The sequence below is a fragment of the Homo sapiens genome, chromosome 3, assembly GCF_000001405.40.
Source record: "Homo sapiens chromosome 3, GRCh38.p14 Primary Assembly".
Lineage (NCBI taxonomy): Eukaryota > Metazoa > Chordata > Mammalia > Primates > Hominidae > Homo > Homo sapiens.
Window position 1 is genome coordinate 20,963,579 of NC_000003.12, and position 3,719 is coordinate 20,967,297.

Sequence of the window (3,719 nt, forward strand, 5' to 3'; positions counted from 1 at the left end):
TTTTCTTCTAAAATGCTTTCTCCTAAAGATTTTCTTAAAAGGAGGTGAAACATGAAAGCAAAAAAATCTTGGGGCTCTGAAATCACTAAGCTAAAGGGAGAAGTCAAGCTGGGAACTGCTTAGGGCCAACCTGCTTCCCATTCTATTCAAAGTCATCCCTCTGCTCACTGAGATAAACACATATCTGGTTGCCTCCTTTGGAGAAACTCAAAACAAATGAAGCCACTTGTTTCTTCTCCACCTATGACCTAGACACCCCCTCCCCACTTTGATTCTTCCCACCTTTGCTTTGAGTTATCCTGCCTTTCCAGACTGAACTAATGTTCATCTTACATATGTTGATTGATGTCTCATATCTCCCAAAAATGTATAAAACCAGTGTGTGCTCTGACCACCTTGGGCACATGTCATCAGGACCTCCTAAGTCTGAGTCACAGGTGCACGCCTTCAATCTTGGCAAAATAAACTTTCTAAATTAACTGAGACCTGTCTCAGACATTTAGGGTTCACAGTAAACTGGTTATTGTGAGTCATAACAAGAACATTCTGGAAGAATAATCCTATTTAATTTTTTATTTATACAAATTTAAGAGGTACAAGTGCAGTTTTGTTAAAGTATATATTATGTAGTGGTGAAGTCTGGGCTTTTAGTGTAACTACCATGTGAATAATATACATTGTACCCATAAAGTAATTTCTTATCCCTTTCCCCCTTTCCAGCCTCTTGAGTCTCCAGTGTCTATTAGTCTATACTCTACGTCCATGGGTACACATTATTTAGCTTCCACTTATAAATGAGAACATGCAGTATTTGACTTTCTGTTCATGAGTTGTTTCACTTAAGATAATGACCTCTAATTCCATTCATGTTACTACAAAAGACATGATTTCATTCCTTTATATAGCTGAATAGTATTCCAATGTGTGTGTGTGCATGCATGTGTGTATGTGTGTGTGTATACATACACTTATATATATACATACCACAATTTCTTTATCCATTTATCCACTGATGGAAATTTAGATTGATTCCAAATATTTGTTATTGTGAATAGTACTGCGGTAAATATACGAGTCCAGGTATCTTTTTTGGCATAATAATTTCTTTTCCTTTGGGCAGATACCCAGTAGTGGAATTGCTGGATCAAATGGTAGTTCTATTTTTAGTTCTTTGACAAATCTCTATACTGTTTTCCATAGAGGTTGTACCAAATTACACTTGCGCCAAAAGTGTATAAGTGTTCTTTTTTCTCTGCATACTTGCTAACATTTGTTATTATTTGACTTTTTCATAATAGCCATGCTGCACTGTATAGAAATAATTAGGCCAAGTGTAATACAGCAAATTCATCCTATCATGATTTGTCTTTAGTAAAAATGGAAAACTGGGGAGAGAAAAATTATGTCTCAGAAACTATAGTACACCTGTTGTTACATTCTAGTCTTGCCTATGTTTTTCAATTTGTGTTATTTTTTACAGTTTGGACTGAGTTATAATTTTTCTTGGCTACAAGTCTGAAAAATAATGTTTTCAATTTTTTTCCTTCTTTTTTCCTGATTTTTTCTAACTTGGAGTCACCAAAAACTAATCTGTACTTTTGTAAAGCCCTGTGAACTGAAGCTAGACAACTTAAACTTCAGAAGAAAATAACAGCCACCTATTTACATACATAAACCACCTTCATACCTGCCTACTGATATATGGACCTCAGAGTAATGTGGAGTATATCAACTTATGTCTCATCATAAGTTTAATTTGCATTTCTCTTAGTGATGTTGAGCATTTTTACATATGCTTGTCAGCCATTTGTATGTCTGCTTTTGAAAAATATCTATTCATATCCTTTGCCCATTTTTTAATGGCATTATTTGATTTTTGTTATTGTTGAGTTGTATGAGTTTCTTGTAAATTCTATATATCAGTATCCTGTCAGATTTATAGTTTGCAAATATTTTCTCCCATTCTGAAGGTGATCTGTTCACTCTGTTATATCTTCTTCTGGCAGAAGCTTTTTAGTTTAATTAAGTCGCATTTGTGTATTTCTGTTTCTGTTGCCTCTGCTTTTGAGGTCTTGGTCATGAAGTCTTCGCCTAGACCAATATCCAGAAGAATTTCCCCTAGGTTTTCTGCCAGTATTTTTCTAATTTCAGGTCTTACATGTAAGCCTTTAATTTATAGTGAATTAATTTTTGTAATAGGTAATAAATAGGGGTCTGGTTTTTTAATGGTAAATTTTTGTAATGGTAATAAATAGGGCTCTGGTTTTATTCTTCCATATATGGCAAACTAATTTTCCCCTCACCATTTATTATAAAGAGTATCCTTTCCCCAGTGTATGTTTTTGTCAATTTTGTCAAATATCAGCTGACTATAAATAGCTGATATAAAGGACTCTTTTCTGGGTTCTTTATTCTGTTCCATTGAACTATGTATCTATTTTTATACCAGGGCCATGCTTTGTTGGTTGCTATAGCCTTATAGAATAATTTGAGGTCAGTAATATGATCACTCTAGCTATGATTTTTTTTTTTTTTTTTTTTTTTTTTTTTTGCTTAAAATTGCTTTGGCTATACATGCTATTTGGTTCCATATGAATTTTAGGAATTTTTTAATTCTGTGAAGAATGATTTTGGTATTTTAATAGGAATAGCATTGAATCTGTAGATTGCTTTGAGCAGTATGGTCATTTTAATGATATTAATTCTTCTGATCCATGAGCATGGGACATTTTCCTACTTGTTTGTGTTATGTGCAGCTTCTTTCATCAGTGCGTTGCAGTTTTTTGTACAGATTTTCCTTGGTTAAATATATTTCTGGGTATTTATTTTTGTAGCCATTGTAAATGGTATTGTGTTCTTGATTTGGTTCTCAGCTTGATTGTTATTAGTGAATAGAAATACTACTAATTTTGTAGATAGATTTTGTTTCCTGAAACATTGCTGAATTCATTTATCATATCTAAGAGTATCTGGAAGTTTCCTTAGGAGTTTCTAGGTATAAGATCGTATCTGTGAAGAGAGATAATATGACTTCCTGTTTTCTAATTTGGATGTCTTTTATTTCCTTATTTTACCTGATTGCTCTGGTTAGGACTTCCAGTACTATGTTGAATAGGAGTGGTGAAAGTTGACATCCTTGTCTTGTTCCAGTTCCTAGGGGGATTTCTTTAAACTTTTCCCCATTCAGTATGATGTTGGCTGTAGGTCTGTCATATATGGCCTTTATTATTTTAGGGCATGTTCCCTCTATGCCTACCTTGTTGAGGGTTTTTATTATGAGGGGATGCTGACTATTGTCAAATGCTATACTATTATTACTTATATAATTTGGTCAAATTATTTTTTATCCATTCTGCCAATCTATATCTTTTACATGGAGCATTTAATCTATTTACATTCAAGATTAATATTTATATGTGAGGTTTCATTCCTATCATAAGGTTAATTTTAATCTAGTTGTTTCATAGGTTCTTTATTCTTTTTTTTCTTCTATATGTTTGTCTTTCTGGTTTCATGGAGTTCTGTCATGCTGCTATTTTATTTCTTTTTATTCCTCCTTTGTATAATTTTTTATAAGACCTGAGAATTTTATACTTCCCTGTAGTTTTATGCTGGTGAATATTGACCTTTTATTTCTGTGTTTAGAACTCCTTTTGGACTCTCCTGTATGGCTGGTTTAGTGCTGATGAATTCTTTCAGAATTTATTTGTCTGGGAACA